Source organism: Homo sapiens, chromosome 1 (genome assembly GCF_000001405.40).
Source record: "Homo sapiens chromosome 1, GRCh38.p14 Primary Assembly".
Classification (NCBI taxonomy): Eukaryota; Metazoa; Chordata; class Mammalia; order Primates; family Hominidae; genus Homo; species Homo sapiens.
The window spans coordinates 185,178,882-185,204,137 of record NC_000001.11 but is presented as its reverse complement, the minus strand read 5'-3'; the positions used below and the strand labels follow the sequence as shown (position 1 = coordinate 185,204,137).

The following is a 25,256-nucleotide window of genomic DNA, read 5'->3' as shown; positions in this document are numbered from 1 at the left end:
CTCAGCCCACATCAATAAATTTCCAGCTTAACTATCTTCATGCCCTCCTCCTTTAAAAGGAGCTTTTATTATTTTAAGTGATATCACTTCATTAACATTACTTTTTAGATACTTGAAAACAACTGTAATTTTCTTATGGCAAAATTAAAAATATTAAGTGGCTTATCTCTACAAAGTGGACAAGCTAAAGGCACACTACCCTTGAAAAACTGTAAACTAGAATATCCTGTTATTCCTTCAAAGGCCATTTTGAATATTATGACAAAAACGTTATTTCCAAAAAGGGTAAATAAGTAGTATATATGTATATATGACTATTTTCACAATTATATATAAAATGCACATATATTAGAGACTTCAATAATCATTTTCCCCAAAGAGGGGAAAGGTGGGATGTACTTATAAATAATGTCAGGTTTAATAAAATATTTCTTCAAATATCAAGCTACAGAACAGATTATTCTGGTGAAAAAAAATGAAATAATAGTATTGTCCTTACTTTTTTTTTTTTTTTCTGAGACGGAGTTTTGCTCTTGTTGCCCAGGCTGGAGTACGATGGCACAATCTCGGCTCACTGCAACCTCCACCTCTTGGGTTCAAGCAATTCTCCTGCCTCAGCCTCCCGAGTAGCTGGGATTACAGGCGCCCGCCACCACGCCCGGCGAATTTTTTCGTATTTTTAGTACAGACAGGGGTTCCCCATGTTGGCCAGGCTGGTCTCGAACTCCTCAGGTGATCCACCCGCCTCGGCCTCCCAAAGTGCTGGGATTACAGGCGTAAGCCAGTGCACCCGGCCTGTTACTTCTTGATTATTAGTTTAAAATTTTTAAAAAGAAAACTATTACTAGATTCCAACAAGTTTCTCTATTGCTAGCTGAGTTTTTATCATATTAATAGGTTATAAATAGAAAGCCAACTTAAAAAAGAAACTAAAAAATTATCTCTATGTCAACTAAATATCTCCTATAACTGCTATTAATTTAAAAGGAATACTCTGTTTCACTTGAAGAAAATGAAGGTGAAAAATACAGGTACACTCTGCAAGGTACAAATTAGCATGTACACAGTGATTATAATGTAAAAATGTATGTAAGCGTGCAGACAAAAACATCAAATTAATTTGTAAAAGTACATATAGAAGGTAATAATGTTAATTATGTTTTCTTTTGGATTACCATCATAACTTCCATTTATTCAATGACTTACATGCCAGCAAGTATTCCAAACGATGTTATTTTAAATGTACAAAATAAAAATTTACTATCGATTCTAATGTTATAAATAATCTTAGTGTATAAAATAAGATATATCTCTAATTATTTATAGTAAAAATACTACCTGCTTTCAACTGTTGCTTAGGAATACAAGGCTGATGACACACATCTGTGTTCAGAGATAAGTGTAATAACTCTGCACTCAATTCTTCTTTACTGAGTGACTTCACACCACTTATTAGGCCTTTGTTTCTTAAGTTTCTATCATCCCTAAGGTTGGGAGGTTGGGATTAGGAGGAAAAAATATTTTTTATAAGGTAAACCACATGGCAAATCAAAACACATGAGATCTAGTCAGAGGCAGGTGATTCTCAGCCTATACCTTAAGAAAGAATAACAACTTTTTTAAAAAAATATGAGCTTTGGGTACTAGGCACCATTCTAAAGTGCTTTATATATATATATATAAATCTATTTAATCCTCACAACAAACTTCTGAGGTAGGAGTAGTATTAACTTTACCCCCATTTCACAGATGGGGAATTGAGGTGTAAAGTTAAGTAACTTGTCCAAAGTTACACCCAGTAAGTGGGAGCTGGATTTGAATACAGGAATGTGATTATCCAAAGAGAAATAAACAGAGAGCTATGTATGAGAAATAATTCACAGTAGGCAGACAAGTACAAATTTACTCAGATTAAGCATAAGACAAATAGCACAAACTTGCTGTTTGCTGAAAGAAGCCAATATGATTAGAACATAGTGCATGAGACCAGTTTATGAGGTTATAGAGAACGACAAGGGCATTAAAAAACAGGAAACTTAAGGGCTTCAGTGGGAAAATGACATGATCGTATCTGTGTTTATTAAATTGTTCTGGAGGCCAGTAGGCTTCCAGCTTCTGTTAATGGCATAGTAGTTTGGTCACACTAACCCTACTACGAATGAGAATTATAAAATCTAAACCAAAAAAAAAATATATTAACTATTTGAAGGCACTAGAAAGCAACAGAATGTAGGCAGAAGCTGGAGTGGGAGTCTACCCTGAAGACACAGAAAATGCATAGCGAGAACTACAAGTCTCTTTTTACCTGAGGGCATTTCCCAATTCATCAAGTGTGACAAGTATTAGTGGCTTGAAATGTCAAAGAACCATGTTCAAGGTTGACCAGGGCAGCTGGAAAGTTAAGGGAGAGAGTGCTCTAGGTTGGCAGCTGGCAAGATGGCAGAATAGGAACAGCTCCAGTCTGCAGCTCCCAGCTAGATCAATGCAGAAAGCAGGTGATTTCTGCATTTCCAACTGAGGTACCCGACTCATCTCATTGGGACTGGTTAGACAAAGGGTGCAGCCCTCAGAGGGCAAGCTGAAGCAGAGTGGGGCATCCACCCACCCAGGAAGTGCAAGAGGTCAGGGAACTCCCTCCCCTAGCCAAGGGAAGCTGTGAGGGACTGTGCCCTGAGGAACGGTGCACTCCGGCCCAGACACTATACTTTTCCCATGGTCTTCACAACCCGCAGACCAGGAGATTCCCTCGGGTGCCTACATCACTAGGGCCCTGGGTTTCAAGCACAAAACTGGGCGGCCATTTAGGCAGACACTGAGCTAGCTGCAGGAGGTTTTTTTCATATCCCAGTGGCGCCTGAACACCAGCGAGACAGAACCATTCACTCCCCTGGAAGTGGGCACTGAAGCCACAGAGCCAAGTGGTCTAGCTCCGTGGATCTCAGCCTCACGAAGCCTAGCAAGCTAAGATCCACTGGCTTGAAATTCTTGCTGCCAGCACAGCAGTCTGAAGTCAACCTAGGATGCTGGAATTTGGTGGGGGGAGGGGCATCCGCCATTACTGAAGCTTGAGTAGGCAGTTTTACCCTCACAGTGTAAACAAAGCCCCCAGGAAGTTTAGACTCGGCAAAGCCCACCGCAGCGCCCCAAAGCCACTGTAGCCAAATTACCTCTCTAGATTCCTCCTCTCTGGGCAGGGCACCTCTGAAAGAAAGGTAGCAGCCCCACTCAGGAGCTTGTAGATAAAACTCCTATCTCCCTGGGACAGAGCACCTGGGGGAAGCTGCGGCTGTGGGCACAGTTTCAGCAGACTTAAACGTTCCTGCCTGCCGGCTCTGAAGAGAGCAGTGGATCTCCCAGCACAGCGCTCGAGCTCTGCTAAGAGACAGACTGCCTCCTCAAGTGGGTCCTTGAACCTCGTGCCCCCTAACTAAGAGACACCTCCCAACAGGGGTTGACAGACACCTCATACAGAAGAGCTCCGGCTGGCATCTGGCGGGTGCCCCTCTGGGACAAAGCTTCCAGAGGAAGGAACAGGCAGCAATCTTTGCTGTTCTGCAGCCTCTGCTGGTGATACCCAGGCAAACAAGGTCTGGAGTGGAACTCCAGCAAACTCCAGCAGACCTGCAGCAGAGGGGTCTGACTGTTAGAAGGAAAACCAACAAACAGAAAGGAGTAGCATCAACATCAACAAAAATGGCGTCCACACAGAAACCCTATCTGAAGGTCACCAACATCAAAGAACAAAGGTAGATAAATCCATGAAGATGAGGAAAAACCAGCTCAAAAAGGCTGAAAATTCCAAAACCACAATGCCTTTTCTCCTCCAAAGGATCACAACTCCTCACCAACAAGAGAAAAAAACTAGACACAGAATGAGTTGATGAACTGACAGAAGTAGGCTTCAGAAGGTGAGTAATAGCAAACTCCTCTGAGCTAAAGGAGCATGTTCTAACTCAATGCACGGAAGCTAAGAACCTTGAAAAAACAGGTTAGAGGAATTGCTAACTATAATAACCAATTCGGAGAAAAAGATAAATGACCTAATGGAGCTGAAAAAAACAGCACGAGAACTTCGTAAAGCATACACAAGTATTAACAGCCAAACCGATCAAGCGGAAGAAAGGATATCACAAACTGAAGATCAACTTAATGAAATGAAGCCTTAAGACAAGATTAGAGAAAAAAGAATAAAAAGGAACAAACAAAGCCTCCAGGAAATATGGAACTATGTGAAAAGACCAAACCTACATTTGATTGGTGTACTTGAAAATGACAGGGAGAATGGAACCAAGTTGGAAAACACTCTTCAGGATATTATCCAGGAGAACTTCCCCAACCTAGCAGGACAGGCCAACATTCAAATTCAGAAAATACAGAGAACACCACAAAGATACTCCTCAAGAAGAGCAACCCCAAGACACATAATTGTCACATTCACCAAGGTTGAAATGGAGGAAAAAATGTTAAGGGCAGTCGGAGAGAAAAGTCGGGTTACCCACAAAGGGAAGCCCAGCAGACTAACAGCAGATCTCTCAGCAGAAACCCTACAAGCCAGAAGAGAGTGGGGGCCAATATTCAACAATCTTAAAGAATTTTCAAACCAGACTTTCATATACAGCCAAACTAAGCTTCATAAGGGAAGGAGAAATAAAATCCTTTACAGACAAGCAAATGCTGTGAGATTCTGTCACCACCAGGCCTCCCTTACAAGGGGTCCTGAAGGAAGCACTAAATATGGAAAGGAACAACCAGTACCAGCCACTGCAAAAACATACCAAATTGTAAAGACCATCGACACTATGAAGAAACTGCATCAACTAATGGGCAAAATAACCAGCTAGCATCATAATGACAGAATCAAATTCACACATAACAATATTAACCTTAAATGTAAATGGGCTAGGCCAGGCGTGGTGGCTCATGCCTGTAATCCCAGCACTTTGGGAGGCCAAGGTGGGTGGATCACGAGGCCAGGAGTTCCAGACCAGCCTGACCAAGATGGTGAAATACCGTCTCTACTAAAAATACAAAAATTAGCCAGGCATGGTGGTGTGTGCCTGTAATCCCAGCTACTCAGGAGGCTGAGGCAGGAGAATCGCATGAACCCAGGATGTGGAGGCTGCAGTGAGCTGAGATCTCACCACTGTACTCCAGGCTGGATGACAGAGCGAGACTCGTCTCAAAAAAAAAAAAAAAAAATGTAAACGAGCTAAATGCCCCAATTAAAAGACACAGACTAGCAAATTGGATAAAGAGTTAAGACCCATCAGTGTGCTGTATTCAGGAGCCCCATCTCATGTGAAAAGACACACATAGGCTCAAAATAAAGGGATGGAGGAATATTTACAAAGCAAATGGAAAGCAAAAAAAAAAAACAAAAAAAAACAGGGGTTGCAATCCTAGTCTCTGATAAAACAGACTTTAAACAGAGATCAAAAGAGACAAAGAAAGGCACTACTTAACGGTAAAGAATCAATGCAACAAGAAGAGCTAAATTTCCTAAATATATATGCACCCAATACAGGAGCAGCAGATTCATAAAGCAAGTTCTTAGAGACCTACAAAGAGACTTAGACTCCCAACACAATAATAGTGGGAGACTTTAACACCCCACTGTCAATATTAGACAGATCAACAAGACAGAAAAGTAACAAGGATATCCAGGACTTGAACTCAGCTCTGGACCAGGTGGACCTAAGAGACAGAACTCTCCACCCCAAATCAACAGAATATACATTCTTCTCAGCACATTGCACTTATTCTAAAACTGACCACATAATTTGAAGTAAAACACTCCTCAGCAAATGCAAAAGAATGTAAATCATAATAAACAAGTCTCTCAGACCACAGTGTAATCAAATTAGAACTCAGGATTAAGAAACTCACTCAAAACCACACAACGTCATGGAAACTGAACAACCTGCTCCTGAATGACTACCGAGTAAATAACGAAATGAAGGCAGAAATAAATAAGCTCTTTGAAACCAGTCAGAACAAAGACACAATGTTACAGAATCTCTGGGACACAGCTAAAGCAGTGTTTAGAGGGAAATTTATAGCACTAAAAGCACACAAGAGAAAGCAGGAAAGATCTAAAATTGACACCCTAACATCACAATTAAAAGACGTAGAGAAACAAGAGCAAACAAATTCAAAAGCTAGCAGAAGAAAAGAAATAACTAAGATCACAGCAGAACTGAAGGAGATAGAGACACAAAAAACCCTTCAAAAACTCAATGAATCCAGGAGCTGGTTTTTTGAAAGATCAACAAAACAGACTGCTAGCCAGACTAATAAAGAAGAAAAGAGAGACAATAAAAAAATGATAAAGGGGATATCACCACCCATCCCACAGAAATACAAACTACCATCAGAGAATACTATAAACACCTTTATGCAAATAAACTAGAAAATCTAGAAAAAATGGAGAAATTCCTGGACACATACACCCTACCAAGTCTAAATCAGGAAGAAGCTGAATCCCTGAATAGACCAACAACAAGTTCTGAAATTGAGGCAGCAATTAATAGCCTACCAACCAAAAAAGTCCAGGACCAGACGGATTCACAGCCAAATTCTACTAGAGGAACAAAGAGAAGCTGGCACCATTCCTTCTGAAACTATTACAAACAATAGAAAAAGAGGGACTCCTCCCTAACGCATGAGGCCAGCATCATCCTGATACCAAAACCTGGCAGAGATGCAACAAAAAAGAAAATTTCAGACAAATATCCCTGATGAATATCAATGCAAAAATCCTCAATAAAATACTAACAAACCGAATCCAGCAGCACATCAAAAAGCTTATCCACCATGATCAAGTCAGCTTCATCCCTGGGATGCAAGGCTGCTTCAACATATGCAAATCAATCAATGTAATCCATCACATAAACAGAACCAATGACAAAAACCACATGATTATCTCAATAGATGGAGAAAAGGCCTTCAGTAAAATTCAACACCCCTTCATGCTAAAAACTCTCAATAAACTCGGTGGAACGAGTTTGAGATGGAATGTATCTCAAAATATTAAGAGCTATTTATGACAAACCCACAGCCAATACCACACTGAATGGGCAAAAGCTGGAAGCTTTGCCTTTGAAAACCGGCACAAAACAAGGATGCCCTCTCTCTCCACTCCTATTCAACATAGTACGGGAAGTTCTGGCCAGGGCAATCAGAAAACAGAAAGAAATAAAGGGTACTCAAATACGAAGAGAAGAAGTCAAATTGTCTCTATTTGCAGATGACATGATTGCATATTTTCTAAATATATAAATATTTTCTAAAGTCTCAGGATACAAAATCAATGTGCAAAAATCACAAGCATTCCTATACACCAATAAATGACAAACAGCAAACCAAATCATGAGTGAACTCCCATTCACAATTGCTACAAAGACAATAAAATATCTAGGAATACAACTTACAAGGGATGCGAAGGACCTCTTTAAGAAGAACTACAAACCACTGCTCAAGGAAATAAGAGAGGACACAAACAAATGGAAAAACATTCCATGCCCATGGATAGGAAGAATCAGTATTGTGAAAATGGCCACAATGCCCAAAGTAATTTATTGATTCAATGCTATCCTGATCAAGCTACCATTGGCTTTCTTCACAGAATTAGAAAAACTACTTTAAATTTCATATGGAAAGAAGAAAGAGCCCGTATAGCCAAGACAATCCTAAGCAAAGAGAACAAAGCTGGAGGCATCACATTACCTGACTTCAAACTCTACTACAAGGCCACAGTAACAAAAACAGTATGGTACTGGTACCAAAACAGAGATATAGACCAATGGAACAGAACAGAGGCCTCAGAAATAACATCTACAACCATGTGATCTTTGACAAACCTGACAAAAACAAGCAATGGGGAAAGGATTCCCTATATAATAAATGGTGTTGGGAAAACTGGCTAGCCATATGCAGAAGACTGAAACTGGAACCCTTCCTTACACCTTACACAAAAATTAACTCAAGATGGATTAAAAACTTAAACGTAAGACCTAAAACCATAAAAACCCTAGAAGAAAACCTAGGCAATACCATTCAGGACATAGGCATGGGCAAAGACTTCATGACTAAAACACCAAAAGCAATGGCAACAAAAGCCAAAACTGACAAATGGGATCTAATTAAACTAAAGAGCTTCTGCACAGCAAAAGAAACTATCATCAGGGTTAACAAGCAACCTACAGAATGTGAGAAATTTTTTGCAACCTATCATTTGACAAAGGGCTAATATCCAGAATCGACAAAGACCTTAAACAAATTTACAAGAAAAAAACAACTCCATCAAAAAGTGGGCAAATGATATGAACAGACACTTCTTAAAAGAAGACATTTATGTGTCAACAAACATATGGAAAAAGGCTCATCATTACTGGTCATTAGAGAAATGCAAATCAAAACCACAATGAGATACCATCTCATGCCAGTTAGAATGGCAATCATTAAAAAGTCAAGAAACAACAGATGCTGGAGAGAATGTGGAGAAATAGGAACACTTTCACACTGTTGGTGGGAGTGTAAATTAGTTCACCACTGTGGAAGACAGTGTGGCGATTCCTCATGCATCTAGAACCAGAAATACCATTTGACCCAGCAATCCCATTACTGGGTACATACCCAAAGGATTATAAGTCATGCTACTATAAAGACACATGCACACATATGTTTATTGCGGCACTATTCACAATAGCAAAGACTTGGAACCAACCCAAATGTCCATCAGTGATAGACTGGATTAAGAAAATGTGGCACATATACACCATGGAATACTATGCAGCCATAAAAAAAGATGAGTTCATGTCCTTTGCAGGGACATGGATGACACTGGAAGCCATCATCCCCAGCAAACTAACACAGGAACAGAAAACCACACACTGCATGTCCTCACTCTTAAGTGGGAGTTGAACAATGAGAACACATGGACACAGGGAGGGGAACACCACATACCGGGGCCTGTCGGGTGGTTGAGGGATAGGGGAAGGATAGCATTAGGAGAAATACTTAATGCAGATGACAGGTTGATGGGTGCAGCAAATCACCATGGCACGTGTATACCTATGTAACAAACCTGCACGTTCTGCATATGTATCCCAGAACTGAAAGTATAATAATAATAATAAAAAGAAAGTTAAAGGAGAAACTGAAGAAAAGAAACCACAGAGCAAGTGAGCCCCAAAATCTGCATATAAAGTATGCCCAGAGAAAAACAACATACTGCCAAGAGTCAAAGTAATCAACAGAAGTAGACTTGAATACAACACAGATACTGAAGCTATCTGACAGCAAATTTAAAGTAATTTTTATTAATATGTTAAAGGTTCTAATGGAAAAGGTGAAAGGAAAATCAAGCAGTTTCACAGAGATGAAAACCATAAGAATAAAATGGAAATGCTAGCAATAAAAAACACAGTAACAAAAATGCAGAATGCCTTGAACAGGCTTGTCAATAGATTTGATAAAGGCAAGGAAAGAATCAACAAACTTGAAGGGAAGTCAAAAGAAAGTACCCAAACTGAAACAAAAAGATAATAAAAGACTTTTTTTTTTTTAAAGTATCCAAGAGCTATGGGACAATATATACAACAGCAATATCCTTATGGTACCTGTGAAGCAGTATAATATTTGAAGGTAGACTTTAATAAGTAAAGATGTATATTGTAAACACTAAAACAACCATAAGAAGTTTTTTTCAAAAAAGTATAAATAAGTAAATAATGGGGACAAAATGGTATCATTAAAAATGCACAATTAATCCAAAAGAGAAAAAGGAAGAAAAGCACAGATGGAACAAAACAAATAGAAAATTATTTGCAAAATGGTAGATTTTAATCCAACAAATTAAATGTGTATGGTCTAAACTTAACAGTTAAAAGACAGAAATTGTCAGATTGGTCAAAAAAGAACCAACTATATGATGTCTACAAGAAACTTACTTTAAATATACAGGCGTAGAGGGGCTAAAAGTAAAAGGATACAAAAAGATACACCACATAAATACCAAGCAAAAGAAAGCTGAAATAGTTGCATTCATACTAGACAAAGAAGACTTTAGAACCAGGAATGATGTCAGAACTAAAAAGGACATTATATAATTATAAAAGAAGCAATTCTCCAAGAAGACAAGCATAAACAATCTTAGATGTATATGCATCTCACTACAAGTTTCTATCTTTTTGCCTGAGGGAATTCTCCAATTCATCAATGCCTTTACCACAACAGAAAGCCATAGCTTTAGTGGCTTTCACAATACACGAAGCAAAACAAATAGAACTGAAAGGAGAAATAGACAAATCCACAATTACAGTTGGAGACTTCAATACTCCTTTCACAGTGATCACAGAAAAAGTAGGCAACCAGCCTTGGCAAGGTGGCTCATGCCTGTAATCCCAGCACTTTGGGAGGCCAAGGCGGGAGGATCACGAGGTCAGGAGATCAAGATCATCCTGGCCAACATGGTGAAACCCTGTCTCTACTAAAAATACAAAAATTATCCAGGCATGGCAGCCTGCAACTGTAGTCCCAGCTACTCGGGAGGCTAAGGCAGGAGAATTGCTTGAATCCGGGAGGCAGAGGCTGCAGTGAGCCAAGATTGCACCACTTCACTCCAGCCTGGGCGACCAAGTGAGACTCCATCTCAGGAAAAAAAAAAAAAAGAAAAGAAAAAGTAGGCCAGTAAGGTTATAGAAGACCTGAAGAATACTATCAACCAACCTGACCTAACTGAAATTTATAGAATACTCCACCCATAAGGGCAGAATACACATTCTGTTCAAATACACAGAAAACATTCACTAAAACAGACCATATTCTTAGCCACAAAACAAACTTTAACAAATTTAAAAGAACAGAAATCATGTAAATTATGTTCTCAATTCACAAAGAAATTAAACTACAATTCAGTAAAAAAAACAAAACAAGTATCTGAAAATTTTACAAATACTTAGAATTAGGCAACAAACATCTAAATAACCTATGGGTCAGAGAAAGAGTCACAAGGGAAATTATAAAGTATATTGAATAGAACGAAAATGAAAACACAACATATTAAAATTTGTGGGATACAACTGCAGAAGTGCTTAGAGGACAGTTATAGCGGTACCAAATAAGTGATCTAAGTTTCCACCTTAAGAAACAAGAAAGAAAGAGCACAAAAAGGCAAGAGAGTACTTTCTGGGCCAGGCGCGGTGGCTCATACTTGTAATTCCAGCACTTTGGGAGACCGAGGTGGCCGGATCATCTGAGGTCAGGAGTTTGAGACCAGCCTGACCGATATGGCGAAACCCCATCTCTACTAAAAATACAAAAATTAGTCAGGCGTGGTGGCACTCACCTGTAATCTCAGCTTCTTGGGAGGCTGAGACAGGAGAATCGCTTGAACCCAAGAGGCAGAGACTGCAGTTAGCCGAGATGGCGCCACTGCACTCCAGCCTGGGTGACAGAGTGAGACTCTGTCTCAAAAAAAAAAAAAAAAGAGAGGCGTTACAGACGTGTTCTCTATATTAACAGGATGTGAGCTACACCAGTGCACCCATTTGTCAACATTGTATAGTTTAGATTTGTGCATTTCCTCAGCTACTCAGGGGCTGAGGAAGGAGGATCACTTGAGCCCAGGAGTTTGAGACCAGCCTGGGCAACATAGCCAGACCCTGTTTCTAAAAAATAAAATTAAAGAAGACCACACAGGACTGGCTAATTCACTGTATATAGATCATGAAGAAAAGGCAGGTATCAAAATTTACTCCCTGGTTTCTGGCTTTAGCAAATGGGTAGGAGGTGACCCTTTTTATTCAGGTGTAGAAGAGTTGAGAAGAAAAACTCAAGAGTTCATTTATGGAGATGATAGGTTTCAGATGTCTATGAAACATCCAAGAGATATCAAATAAATAGTTGAATATATTAGCCTGGAGTTTAGAAAAGCAATATGGATTGGAGATATTAATTGTATTGCTGGTGCAGACATATGATTGTAAATGTAAGCACTTAGAATGATGCATAGTATATAAGTGTTATAAAAGTTTTTCTGATTACTATCACTATCAATTGACATTATCATCATCCATTTTAAGTAATATAAATATGTCCTCACAATAGTAGGTATGACTTATACAATACACAGGATTATCACTATTTAAAGAAAATGCATACAAACCAACCAAAAAAAGAGAGAGAGAAAAACAGGCTCACCACTTGGAACACGACTATGTCAGAATTAAAAGTAAGGTTTGGCTATAAATTTTCAGTCGCTAAAAAATAGTATATCTGTTAATCCCAAAAAAAGCAGTGAATGTACAAATAATGGAGAATTGATAAAGTTTTGTCAATTTAATTTTCATTCTAAGCTGAACTAAAAAAATAATTACATAACAAAGAATTACTTCTCGAATTTATCTCAAATTCAAAATGATTTATATATTATTAATTCTATTTCAGCCTTCAACAAACTCCAAAGTAATATGTCCTAGATCAAAATATAATTTAAAACTCATAGATAGAAAGCTCCAATATTTCCTTTAATAGCAAAAGGAATCACATTATCTTTGAAGATAGCTAAAATAATAACACTGACTAGAATGTTTCCAAGAAACATGTTAGGGCTAACGATTTCTATAGTAGCTCCATTTCACAGAAAGAATTTGAGCATGATCATGAAACTATAAAAACTCCATTTTGCAGTGAATAAAATACAGATTAAAACTGCAAGTTTCAAAGCATGATGTAGACTGATTAAAAAAAAACTGCAAATTAAAATTGCTCTTCTGTCCCTTCAGAACCTTTTCTCATACATGATGAATAAAATTTTGTTTAGCATTATCTTAGTTTTATCTTTGAACTAAGTTATGGAAATATTAGTAGGGAGGGAAGAAGCAGGGGGAAGGGAGAAGGAGGGAGAAAACTTACTGAGATCTTACTATATATTAGGCACTATTCTAAGTCATTTACATATATTAACAGATTAAATACAATAATCTCATGAGGCAGGTGATATTATTATTCCTGTTTATTTGACATGAGGAAACTAAGTTAAGCAACTTGTCCAGGGTCACAATGCTGATAAATGATAGATCAGGACTCCAAGCCAGGCAGTCTAACTCTGTAATAGGCACCCAGCACACAACTCCAACATAAACTACCTTATCTCCACCTCACCAATATGTAAGTAAATAAATTTCTTGTCTCATCCTGTCAGATTCTGATTTTTAAACAATTTTGGAGGGATATTAAGTTGCCTTTTCCCCTGCTTTTTCAAGTTTTCTGAATCGTATAAAAATTAAACTGAAATGAAACTTCATCTAGTTGAGATCTCATTCCTCTAGTGCTCACACATTATAAGACTGTCAGATACAAGTGGGTATGCTTACTGGCAGATTTGGAAAATTATGTATGTTTTTGATCCTTGGTATGCTGGATACCATATGATTTTTTTAAATTATTTGGTTTATTTTTTAAAAATAAAAAGTCAAATGACTATGAAACTCACGTGCACAGAATAACAAAAGAACAAGGGAATAATTCCTGGTGCTGGAGACAGCATTTTAGTACTCGATCATCATTGTTCTCATCACTCAATCCATCTGCAAATTTAGTAAAGGCAACAGTCAGTAAGTACACTAGAAATGTGGGTGACACAGAAATAATCTAGGCTGTATTTACAAAACAAAAATATCTAAGAGATTTAAGGTAGTTAAGGTATGATACTATGATGGTGGACACACGTCATTATACATTTGTCCAAATCCACAGAGTGTACAACACCAAGAGTGAACCTAATGTAAACTATGTACTCAGAGTGATAATGATGTCAAATGGAGGTTCATCAACTATAACAAAGGTACCACTCCAGTGAAGGATACTGATAATGGGGAAGCTATGCTTGTGTGGGGGCAGGAAGTATGTGGGAAATCTTGATGTCTTTTGTGCAATTTTCCCGTGAAACTAAAACTACTCTCAAAAACTCTATTAAAAAATATATCTCAGCTGGGCACAGTGGCTCACGCCTGTAATCCCAGCACTTTGGGAGGCCGAGGTGTGCAGATCACTTGAGGTCAGGAGTTCGAGACCGGCCTGGCTAACATGGTAAAACCCCATCTCTACTAAAAATACAAAAATTAGCCAGGCATTGTGACAGGTGCCTGTAATCCCAGCTACTGGGAATCTGAGGCAGGAGAATCAGTTGAACCTGGGAGGCAGAGGTTGCAGTGAGCTGAGATCCCGCCACTGCACTCCAGGCTGGGCAACAGAGTGAGACTCCATCTCAAAAAAAAAAAAGTATATATGTATTTATATATACATATATAAGAAATATATGTATTTCATATATATTTATGTACATATAAAAGAAAGAAAACTTTTTACATAAAAAGACAAGAAAATAATTTTTTTAAAACTCTGAATCTAGAATTTACATAGCATACAGTTGTGGATTTAATGTGGTTAGTTCGCTATTAAAATGGTCTAGGATATGGCTATTAGTAAACTCAAAGGAAAGAAATGTGATCAGAAGGCTAAAATGTCAGACTAGAAACCAAAAACCACGAATCCTAATATCAATTCAGTCACTTACAGATTATAAGTAACTTAACATTTTCTCAGCTTAAGAAGTCTGTGAACTAATAAGCAACTGTTCTACCGCAGCTAAACTAGTTTCCTGTGTGTGCTCTTCCTTAATCTCTAAAGCAATGCAATTAGAGGTATACAGGAGAAAGAAATATGGGCCCTAGGAAGGTAACACAAGAAGTAATTCCTAACAAATGTTAATCAGCTGCTGACAGGGTACCCTCTGGCATTCTCTACGCCTCAAAACATGTAGCAAAAATTCAGTTTTTATAAAATTAATGCAGGCCAGGTGGGTGGTGCCTGTGATCCCAACATTTTGAGAGGCTGAGGCAGCGGGATTGCTTAAAGTCAGGATTCCAAGATCAGCCTGGGCAACATGGCGAGACTCTGCCTCTACAAAAAAAACAAGAAAATTATCCAGGCTCGGTGGCACACTCCTGTAGTCATATAGTCCCAGCTACTCAGGAGGCCGAGGAGGGAGGACCACTTGAGCTCAGGAGTTCAAGCCTACAGTGAGCTATGATCGTGCCACTGCACTCCAGCCTGGGTGACAGGGTGAGACCTTGTCTCTAAAAAAATTAAGAATAAAATAATAATAATAATGCAATGTGTAGAAATTGGACCAAAGATAATGTTTCCCACAAGTCCATAAACTACCTACCTGAGAACTCCCTAGACTTATTAATAACACAGAATGCAGGACCATACCCCAAATATATTTCTGGGTAAGAATCTTTGAAGCCTGGACCCAGATCATAATTTAAGGTCTTGGCCTGTCTCTTATACATTAAAATTTAAGACATACCAGCCAATTCATCTCAACCTTATTCCCAGTTTATAATCATTTTTCTCTCAACTTCTGGCCTATATTACTTAGTCCTCTAATCCTTCAAATTAGAAAACTCATTCGTTCATGCAATAAATACTTATATACGGTTTAATTTGTGCCATGCTAAGCAGATGGATATGCAAAGACAAACTCTTTAGGAGTTCATATTAGTGAAATCTAGACAGAGCTCAACTATGTCAGGACATGAGTGTGAGGAAGATGTGATTAAATTTCTTGATCAGATGACCAGTGAGCCAGACAGACATATATCACAGTAGTCAATTTCCCTTAAATTCAGAGGGTAAATGCCATGAATAATGCAAAATGTGTAACTCAAAATCATTAGTTAACTTTAAACAATTCAATTCAGCAGATAAAAGGAGGCTTAAAAGTAACAGTGCACTGCTGTAACAGTATCAAACTCAAGATTATCAGTAATACCACTTTTTCTAAGATATATGGAGCAGAAAAATCAACTGTAAGACTATTCATGAAATCTTTAGTTATTCAATAAATACTTTTGAGCACCTGTACATGTGAACAAAATAAAGTGAACAAAATAAAGACTCCGGAAACAGACCAGTCTGGTTATGTATCCTTGTTTTCCCACTTACTAGGTATGTATCCTTGGGTGAAGTTTTTAATCATGAGGAGTAAATGAAAATGTATATAAAGTATTTAGCCCAGTGTATGGCAATAGTGAATGCTTAAAAGTACCATGTATTTATTACTTAAGATGCAGCTTGGCAAGGCGCGGTGGCTCACACCTGTAATCCCAGCACTCTGGGAAGCCGAGGCAGGCAGATCACCTGAGGTCAGGAGATCGAGACCAGCCTGACCAACATGGTGAAACCCCATCTCTACTAAAAATATCTTAAAAAATTAGCCGGGCATGGTGGCACATGCCTGTAATCCCAGCTACTCAGGAGGCTGAGGCAGGAGAATCGCACACTTGAGGCCGGGAGGCGGAGATTGCAGTGAGCTGAGATCACGCCATTGCACTCCAGCCTGGGCAACAAGAGCAAAACTCCATCTCAAAAAAATAAAAAAAAATTTAAAAAGATTCAGCTTAAATGGCACCTCAACATCAATGACCTCACTCACATACAGAATAAATAAATTCTATATAAATCATAGTTATTAAGATGTTTAATATCTAATAGAATTTAACCTCCTCAACAGTAGGGTTTATCTTTCTTATTCACTGTTACAGGGCCAACACTTGGAACAGTGTCTGGTACAAATACTTGGCAAACAAATGAATCAATAAAAATACAATGAAAAATATAAAAATACAGAACAAATGTCTGATTGGGGGAGTGGCAGATAACTATTTATTGCCTTTAATTATTTTTACCTTATTATAAAAAATATATAACTTTATTAGCCAGGCACCGTGGCTCACACCTGTAAGCCGAGGGAGGCTGAGGCAGGTGGATCACCTGAGGTCAGGAGTTCGAGACCAGCCTGGCCAACATGACAAAACCCCATCTCTACTAAAAATACAAAAATCAGCTGGGTATGGTGGCTCACACCTGTAATCCCAGCTACTCTAGGAGGCTGAGGCACGAGAAGCTCTTGAAGGTGGAGCTAGGAGGTGGAGGTTGCAGTGAGCTAAGATTACACCATTGCACTCCAGCCTGGGTGACAAACGAAGACTCTTTTAAAAAAAAAAAAAAAAAAAGCTGGGCGCGGTGGCTCACGCCTGTAATCTTAGCACTTTGGGAGGCCAAGGCGGGTGGATCACCTAAGGTCAGGAGTGAGAGACCAGCCTGGCCAACATGGTGAAACCCTATCTCTACTAAAAATACAAAAATTAGCCAGGCATGGTGGGGCACACCTGTAATCCCAGCTACTTGGGAGGCTGAGGAAGGAGAATCACTTGAACCCGGGAGGTGGAGGTTGCAGTGAGCTGAGATCATGCCACTGCACTCCAGCCTGCGTGACGGGAGCGAGACTCCATCTTAAAAAAAAAAAAGGTAATTAAAAATCTGGAAAATACAGAAAATATAAAGAAAATTAAAATAACTGATAAACCCATCAGGTAAATATCACCTCTATTCATCATTAATCAGTATATAATTAAATAAATTTAGAATTATACTTCACATATTTTTTTAATCTTATGTTTGTTTTTATTTAACGTTATATGTCATTAATGTTTTTCCAAATATAGTGTCCCCTCCTGTGGCTATAGCAATGTATGTAACTTCTCCAAATGTTATACAGGTTGATTCTAATTTTTTTGTTACATAAATAATGCTATAATGAACACTATTTATATAAATCACTGCCTGCATCTCTCACTTTTTTTGGATACATTTCTAGAAAGACAATTATTATCCTTAGGCTTATTCAAGCACATTGCTAAATACTGCTCTTCTACAAAGTTACCAATTCATAGTCTTAAAGCCATGCAGTGCTGTGAATCTTCCTAGTGGGTTGGGAGAGAGTAACTTTCTAAACTTAGAAGTGATAAAAATAAATCAGATATTTAAAAAAAAGATAGATGAGTCTTATCAATCTGCATAAGCTTTTCATATAATGAGGACACAAGAGAATTACTGCCTATTCTGAACCATAAGCTATTAGTTTAATATATTAACTCAACCAATCTTCACAACCATTTTATGACGTGGAATTTATTTCCTCTCATTTCATTTATTCAGTTTCTTCACCTTTAACTTCCCCCGGGTTATGCTATAAACCCAGGTTGATCATATTTCAAATCCTATGTTCCTCTCACTATAATAGATCAATACTATATCAAATAAATATAATTTTGCAAATAGTTAAGGACAAGGCTAAAATTATAGTCAACTAAAGCTACTTGACATGGACCATCTTCACTCAAAATTCATAAGCATTATATCTGGAATATACTAAGAACTAATAAATATTTGTTTAGACAATGAATGAATGGTAGAGACCCTTTTTCTTCAAAATTTTAAGACTAAACAAAAATTTTAGACTAAAGTAATTCATCTTAAGATGAATCTAATCATGGCTTTTAAAGCCTTCTCATAGTTAATACCATAATTGGATTCCTCTTAAGATGAATTCTTTCAAATCTTACGGTGAATATGGGTGCAGTGGACAGTACAAATCCGTGGTATTTAAAATAATGTAAGCTTACATATATAAATAATTCTGAGCTGGGAAGAAACAAATTCTGAAAGAATGAAATAAATCTTCTAAATATATATGTATAAACTCCACAGAAATAAGTGTTCCTTTATATATAGATATTTTTCCAGCAAATTATATAAAACATAAAGAACATCCTTAGCTTCTAAGACTAAAGCAATTTTTTAAATGCCTTAATAGAAACTAATATTGAAAAAAATTAAATGAGGGGAAAATCTATACACTACTTTATTGTAAAAACACCTCATTCATTATTACCGATTCTGACAAACCACAGGAAAGCAACATCGTCTCCACAGTACATTAACTGCATATGGTGATATTAACAGACTAGAAACCTAGATCACTTACAGACTTCATCACTCAGCAATGGTATTTTTAAAAAAGGAGTCCAAGGTTCTGGGATATAGATAATTATGCATACACAACTATACAGTCACTATCTGTGAAATATAGACATAATGTAAAAACGTCTAGGAGAAGCAGAAAAATAAAAGTCAAAGACTCCTAAACTAAGCCACAAACCATCACAATGCCCCTTCCATTTCACATTCCAATGGGTTTAAATGTTTTAAAAGTTTTGCACCATTTCCCTCCAATAATGAGTCTGCACCCAAACAAGTATTAATCAGGAGGCACTCTGAGAGAACAATACTTACAATGTTTTTGGGATGCAAGTTGTATTGACTGACCCCATAGCTTTCTATCTTGATTTTTGAGACTGTCGTTGATGAAATGAACTGCAGGTATAGCTTTGTGCTGGGCACGTTTTAGTAGTTTTCCTTCCTTCATACGATCTAGCTCTTGCATAACGACCCAGGGAATTATTAACACAAGTTTGTCAAAACCTAAAAAATAAAAAGATTTCTTAGAATTTAACAAACATTTATTGAGCTACTAAATGGAATTGCTGTCCAAGAGGTAAAAGTTTTAAAGCACACAGTCCCTACCTTTAGGAAATTCACAATAAATTGAGAGACAATATATTATAAAATGGAAATTAAAAAGAAAATAACGTGTCAAAAGAATGTTAAAAAAATAATTACTCTTGGAGATCAAAAAAAGAGTGAGTTCAGATTGCTAGTTTAACCTGTAAAGGCTTTTATAAACTTATAACACTGAATATGCTTAATATATAGCATATCTAAATGGAGACATGTTCATGGCAAAAAAAGCCCATCATTGTTAATATAAAATATCAACTCAAGGAAGAAAATCAGAATCTTTAAATATGTTCTGTAAATACCTGGTACTTCTGTTGTCTTCAAAATTCTAACAAATTTGAGATGATTCATCAGAATATTTGTGTCAATAACAATTAGAAGCTTTCTGTCTGAAGTATTATTTGCTAAAGAAAAAGAGCAAATATTTCATGACACTTGATAACAGACTTATATAATGACTAAAATTTTGATATTACAGAAGCATTGAAAATTCAATTAAATTTAAAACGCCTCTTTGTCTTGTTAACTGTATCAGAGATTTACACAGTTGGCTAGACTCTCAAGCTGATATCTATCCGGCCCGTATCCTTGTTGCCAAGTAAATTTCTCCCCAATCAATTAAGGTCCTCTGGATAGGAATTGCAACCCCTGTTTGGAGTGGGAGTGGGGTGGAGAATCGTCTAAGTCAAAGTGGGCAGAGAAGGTAAGGGTTGGCAAAGCAGAAATACACGGGAAACCTGGGGCCAAGACTGTGAAAAACCAGCCATGGAGAATGTTTTTGAGAGCATTCTTAAGAGAAGTCCTTTAGACAATAAAAACAAAATTGCTTTTACTTCGATTCTTAAGAGAAAGAATAGTAATCAATGTTTAATCACCCACCAGTAGAATACTATAAATTGCTTGTAGGTGGATTTTAAATTATGAACTGACTTGCCTGGGGAGTAATTATGTTTCTAACTTCTGTCATGGATCACCGGTAGTTGTGCACTTAGTAATTATAAGCTAATTTTAACATATCCTGAGTGAATATAATTGAAAGATGAATATGTGTAAAAGAAAATACATGCTGGGCTTGGTGGCTCACGCCTGTAATCCCAGCACTTTGAGAGGCCGAGGCGGGCCAATCACCTGAGGTCAGGAGTTCGAGATCAGCCTGGCCAACACAGTGGAACTCCAGCTCTACTAAAAATTAGCCAGGCATGGTGGCACACGCCTGTAGTCCCAGCTACTCAGGAGGCTGAGGCAGGAGAATTGCTTGAACCTGGGAGGCACAGGTTGCAGTGAGTGGAGATAGCTCCAATTCCAGCCTGGATGACAGAAGGACACTCCGTCTCAAAAAAACAAAAACAAAAGAAAAACCCACAAACAAACAAAAAAAGAAAAAACATAATAATTCTAGCATTGTTATTGCATAGGACCATTTTGAGGATCAGATAATACATAGGAAAACACTTGAAAGATGAAAACTGCAATGTGAATGTAAGGTAGCATTACTTTTTTTTTTTTTTTGAGATGGATTTTTGCTCTTGTTGCCCAGACTGGAATGCAGTGGCTCAATCTTGGCTCACTGCAACCTCTGCTTCCCAGGTTCAAGCCATTCTCCTGCCTCAGCCTCCTGAGTAGCTGGGAATACAGGCATGGGCCACCATGCCCAGCTAATTTTTCGTATTTTTAGTAGAGATGGGGTTTCACTATGTTGGCCAGACTGGTCTCGAACTCCTGACCCCAGGTGATCCACCCTCCTTGGCCTCCCAAAGTGCTGGGATTACAGGCGTGAGCCACCGTGCCCGGTCAGCATTGCCATTTTTAAAAATGGAATTTGAAACAGTACACTGATAGATTTTGGATAATCTCTATCATTATCTTCTCCCAGTAGCAAAAAAAATGATCAAAATTTCACAACATGAATAAGAAATCAATAAATATAATACCTTCAAGCAATCTGCATTCTTTCTTTTTTTTTTTTTTTTTTTTTTTTGAGAGAGAGAGGGTCTTGTTCTGTCACCAAGGCTGGAATGCAGTGGCACAATCTTGGCACACTGCAGCCTCAACCTCCCAGGCTCAAGCAATCCTCCCACCTCAGCCTCCTGAGTAGCTGCGACTACAGGCGCATCCCATCACACCTAGCTAACTTTATTTTCTGTAGACAGGAGGTCTCACTATGCTGCCCAGGCTGGTCTTGAACTCCTGGGTTCAGGCAATCCTCCCATCTCAGCCTTCCAAAATGCTGGAATTACAGGCATGAGCCACTGCACCAGCTATTCTGCATTATTTCTGATCAGTGCTTTACATCATTGAAATTGTTAAAGTTATAACAGCAAGAATAAAAGACAACTCATAATTCTAATTACTACCTCTTGACAGAAAAAGAGAAAAATATCTAACTATCCAATAATATGAAATATGTAAAACCAATAAGACAAATATTGGATCTAATTCCTGTACCTAAAAAATAAACTATTACTTTATCATTCATTTCAAGTGAGCACATTTTAACATTTTTCATCTAAATATTATAAAAATTGAATATTGGCACATTAATTTTTAGGAAAGCATAGGGGAGCATACACATCAACATATAGGGTATACCAGAGGAGGAATGTACATCATCTTCTAAGTCAATTTCCATACTCATTAACTCTCCAGGTAAATCCACACTTTTTCCCACACGTGCAGCATGAAGCTCTTCTACTATCTGCATCTAAAGTGTAAAAGACCCCAGTGAAATATTTTGAGTTACTTTGCAGACTGACAAGAGAGGAAAGCAATTAATTCTTAATTAATTCACTTGAGATGGTTTATGGAAAGAAAAAATTTTATAAAACTCTGAAGGAGCATAGTAAAAGAACAAAGATTTATAAACACACACGTGGTTTTCAAAATAGTTTTCTTCTTACCTCCATAACCTATGCAAGCAAATTATTTAACAACTTTGGGTCTCAGTTTGTTAATTCACAAAATAGGAATCTTTAATATCTATTTCCTTTAGGATTTTTGTGAGGAATAAATGAAATAAGCTAGGTGAAGCTCCTTGCACAGAGCCAAATACCTAGACATTAAAGTAAGTTCATTCTCATTCCAATCCTCACTTCATTTTAGGAGTCAAATTTTTTTTATCTTGACAGTAAGCATTCTTCTTGAGATTTCTAAGATTGTTATGAACCATCATAAACTGAAATCTAGATCTTAAAACCATTCTCACTTCACAGAAATACTTCTCTGATGTATTGTGACACAAAGAAATGAAAATACAGTCTAGCTTTAGATCAGAGGTGAGACATCTTTCTTCTATCAAGGAGCACCTCAAAACAGAAAAATACAATTGACTGTCACAAATAAAAATCAATTAATATAGTCTGAAAGTTTTTTGTTTTGTTTTGAGACACAGTCTTGCTCTGTCAGCCAGGCTGAAGTGCAGTGGCATGATCTTGGCTCACTGCAACCTCCATCTCCCGGGCTCCAGTAAGTCTCCTGCCTCAGCCTCCTGAGTAGCTGGGATTACATGCATGTACCACCATGCCCAGCTAATTTCTGTATTTTTAGTAGAGAAAGGGTTTCACCATGTTGGCCAGGCTGGTCTCGAACTCCTGACCTCGGGTACTCCACCCGCCTTGGCCTCCCAAAGTGCTGGGATTACAGGCTTGAGCCACGGTGCTTTGCCTGAAAGTCTTTAAAAAGACAATTACAAAGTGTTCCACGAATCTCATCTTAACTTAGGACAAGTCAACATAAAATTCTATGAAGATCAGTCAGGGGACTCTGGTTGGGAAATGAAGCAACAGGTAAAAAGATAAACACTCATGTACTCTCATTTTCATTGAATAATGTTTTCATCTTATTGATGATTTTTAAAATGAAGTAAAAACATGTTAATGTCCTACTGCATTTTGGCAACCCTAGGCATAAACAGGGAAAGTGTCATAATATTAAATCAAAATTCAGATTACTTGTGGGCCACTGGTTTCATGCTCTTTGTTCACAATAGATAACCTTACTAGAAACAAAAGTAAAAAGTACTAAAGTATACTTTTCTGAATAGTTTTGGATGACTTCATAAAACCTTACATATTGATTTAAATAGAGACATCATTGTTATTTTCATATTATCAGGGTTTCTACAGTCATTATTTTTTATTAAAAGTAGGAACTGACTTAATTTCATTAAAAATATCAAAGTAAACAAGAATATCAATAACCTCTTGATCTGCATCCTGGATACTTTCAGATGACACGGAACAACATGGTGCTTCAAAACTCTGAAATGAAAGTAATTTCATTAGCTAAGAATAAAGCATAACCTAAATAGGGTTTTTCAACCTTGTCACTATTAACCTTCAGGGTCAGATAATTCACTTTAGGGGTTGCCCTGTATATTGCAGGATGGTTAGCAGCATCACTGACCTCTATCCTCCAGAATGTCAGTAGTACTACCCACCTACCCCTACTCCCAAACTTTTTTTTTAAAGACAGGGTCTCACTCTGTCACCCAAACTGGAGTGCAATGGCACAACTGTGATTCACCACAGCCTCAACCTCCTGGACTCAAGCGATCCTCCCGCCTCAGCCACCTGAGTAGCTGGGACCACAGGCACACCAACACACCCGGCTAATTTTTGTATATTTTGTAAAGATGGGGTTTTGTCATGTTGCCCAGGCTGGTCTCGAAATCCTGAGTTCAAGTGATCCACCTGCCTCAGCTTCCCGAAGTACTGGGATTACAGGCGTGAGCCGTAGTGCCAGCCCCAACCTCAATCTTGACAATCGAAAATGTTTCCTGGCATTGCCAAATGTCCCCTGAGGGGCAAAATTGCCTCCAGATGAGAAACTGTCCCTAGAATAGAGAAGCTCCATTTTATCAAGTCATGAAACATGGTAGAATTCTTCATATACAGATGCATAAAAATACTATATTCTAAGAATAAAATTACATGCCACCCCAAAAAAAGAGAAATAATGAATGCAAAGGTAAACAAGTTGGCCTTCAGTGGTGAAAAATTTTCATCCAGGAGCAACTAAGTCATTTCTACAAGTGACATGATAAAACAACAGAAGGAACTTGAGGATTACAATAAGGCTAAAAAAGAAAAGCTGAACAATGCACGGTTATATTATATGTAGTTAGAGCACCAGGGGTTTCTGTTTTATATTTTGTCTTCAAACAAAGTCTGAAAATCTCCCTCCAAATTCCAATTTTCCACTGGCATTTCTGCTGAGTGGATGAGACCTACCTGACCCTACATACAGGTGACAGGAAGCTCAGCAAAAGAACGAATGAATTATAACCTTCTAAGAATTCTCCAAAGTAACTCTAAACTAACATGTACTTTACGGAAATCTATTTCTGGTATGAACTACAAACACTCTTCTTTTCTTTTTTTGAGACAGAGTCTCGCTCTGTTGCCCAGGGTGGAGTGTAGTGGCATGATCTCAGGTCACTACAACCTCCACCTCCCGGGTTCAAGCGATTCTTCTGCCTCAGCCTCCCAAGTAGCTGGGACTACAGGCCCGCCACCATACCCAGCTAATTTTTGTATTTTTAGTAGAGACAGGGCTTCACCATGTTGGCCAAGCTGGTCTCAAACTCCTGACCCCAAGTGATCTGCCCACCTCAGCCTCCCAAAGTGCTGGGATTATAGGCACGAGCCACTGCGCCCACACAAACACTCTTTAAACAAGTACATCATACGTAGAAATGCTTTACTGAGAATTCAGCTTCCGCCTGAACTTTCAGGCTAAATGCTTTACTGGGAAATCAGCTTCCACCC

General features: G+C 38.1%; 1 protein-coding gene across 15 annotated transcripts in view; it reads right to left on the bottom strand.

Annotated features, from left to right (window-relative positions):
- The window catches only part of SWT1 (SWT1 RNA endoribonuclease homolog), a 134,722-nt gene that overhangs the window by 87,644 nt on the left and 21,822 nt on the right, over positions 1-25,256 (bottom strand). For 9 of the 15 annotated variants that reach the window (XM_005245271.3, XM_047423246.1, XM_017001528.3 and 6 more), the window contains 6 exons: positions 23,688-23,747; positions 22,060-22,192; positions 19,794-19,895; positions 19,207-19,395; positions 13,496-13,589; positions 1,339-1,484 (listed from right to left, as the gene is read on the bottom strand). In XM_005245271.3, coding sequence (XP_005245328.1) covers positions 1,339-1,484; positions 13,496-13,589; positions 19,207-19,395; positions 19,794-19,895; positions 22,060-22,192; positions 23,688-23,747 — 724 coding nt within the window. The remainder of the gene's footprint in view (positions 1-1,338; positions 1,485-13,495; positions 13,590-19,206; positions 19,396-19,793; positions 19,896-22,059; positions 22,193-23,687; positions 23,748-25,256) is intronic. The other 6 variants (NM_001105518.2, NM_017673.7, XM_017001527.2 and 3 more) reach the window with 1 other exon arrangement.